Raw genomic sequence first — 1812 nt, 5'->3', positions numbered from 1 at the left:
TAGCTCCCACTTATAAGTGAGAACATACAATGTTTGGTTTTCCATTCCTGAGTTACTTCACTTAGAATAATAGTCTCCAATTCCATCCAGGTTGCTGCTAATGCCATTATTTCATTCCTTTTTTATCGCTGACTAGTATTCTACAGTATATATCACAATTTATTTATCCACATATTGATTGATGGACATTTGGGCCGGTTCCATATTTTTGCAATTGTGAATTCTGCTGCATAAACATGTGTGTGCAAGTATCTTTTTCATATGACTTCTTTTTCTCTGGGTAGAGGGTAGTTCTACTTTTAGATCTTTAAGGAATCTCCACACTGTTTTCCATAGTGGTTGTACTAGTTTACATTCCCACCACGTTAAAAATGTTCCCTTTTCACCACATCCATGCCAACACCTATTATTCTTTGCATTTTTTTATTATGGCCATTCTTCCAGGAGTAAGGTGGTATCACACTGCAGTTTTGATTTGCATTCCCCTGATCATTAGTGGTGTTGAACATTTTTTCATCTGTTTGTTGGCCATTTGTATATCTTCTTTTGAGAAATGTCTATTCATGTCCTTAGCCCACTTTTTGATGGGATTGTTTGTTTTTTTCTTGCTGATTTGAGTTCCTTGTAGATTCTGGATGTTAGCTCTTTGTCGGATGTATAGATCGCAAAGATTTTCTCCCATTTTGTGGGTTGTCTGTTTACCCTCTGGATTGTTTCTTTTGCCGTGCAAAAACTTAAACTTGCACGGCAAAAGAAACAATCTGCAGGAAAAACAGACAATCACAAAATTTTGCTGTGCTTAATTTAGTTTAATTAAGTCCCCAGCTATTCATCTTTGTTTTTGTTGCATTTGCTTTTGGATTCTTGGTCATGAAATCCTTGCCTAAGCCAATGTCTAGAAGGGATTTTTCTGATGTTATCTTCTAGAATTTTTATGGTTTCAGGTCTTCGATTTAAGTCCTTGATTCATTTTGAGTCAATTTTTGTATAAGGTGAGGGATGAGGATCCAGTTTCATTTTTCCACATGTAGCTTGTTAATTATTGTAGCACCATTTGTTGTTGAATAGGGTGTCCCTTCCCCAGTTTATGTTTTTCTTTGCTTTATCAAAGATCAGTTGGCTATAAGTATTTGGCTTCATTTCTGGGTTCTCCATTCTGTTCCATTGGTCTTCATGCCTATTTTTACACCAGGATCAGCTGTTTTGGTGACTATGGCCTCCAGATTGGTTCTTTTTGCTTAATCTTTCTTTGGCTATGCAGGCTCTTTTTTGGTTCCATGTGAATTTTAGGGGTTTTTTTTTCTAGTTCTGTGAAGAATGGTGATAGTATTTTGATGGGAATTGCTTTGATTTTTTAGATTGCTTTTAGCAGTATGGCCATTTTCACAATATTGATTCTACCCATCCATGGGCATGGGATATATTTCTATTTGTTTGTGTTGTCTATGATTTCTTTTAGCAGTGTTTTGTAGTTTTCCTTCTAGAGGTCTTTCATCTCCTTGGTTAGGTATATTCCTAAGTATTTTATTATATGCAGCTATTATAAAAGGAGTTGAGTTCTTGATTTGATCCTTAGCTTGGTCACTGTTGGTATATAACAGAGTTACTGATTTGTATACATTAATCTTGTATCCTGAAACTTTGCTGAATGAAATCAACATGGAAATTTAAAACTTCTTCGAACTGAATGATAACAGTGACACAACCTATCAAAATCTCTGGGATACAGCAAAGGAGTGCTAAGAGGAAAGTTCATAGCCCTAAATGCCTATATCAGAAAGTCTGAAAGAGCACAAACAGACAATCTAAGGT

General features: G+C 35.7%; 1 non-coding gene across 1 annotated transcript; it reads right to left on the bottom strand.

The window, feature by feature from the left end:
* Nucleotides 1-700: 700 nt before the first annotated feature.
* On the bottom strand, nt 701-770 carry MIR4445 (microRNA 4445). Its single transcript, NR_039647.1, has one exon. It is a non-coding gene; the product is annotated as a microRNA 4445 (primary transcript).
* Between the last annotated feature and the right edge of the window lie 1042 nt (nt 771-1812).

Source organism: Homo sapiens, chromosome 3 (assembly GCF_000001405.40).
Source record: "Homo sapiens chromosome 3, GRCh38.p14 Primary Assembly".
Taxonomy (NCBI): Eukaryota; Metazoa; Chordata; class Mammalia; order Primates; family Hominidae; genus Homo; species Homo sapiens.
The sequence above is the reverse complement of the archived record's forward strand: the minus strand, read 5'-3'. Positions and strand labels throughout refer to the sequence as shown.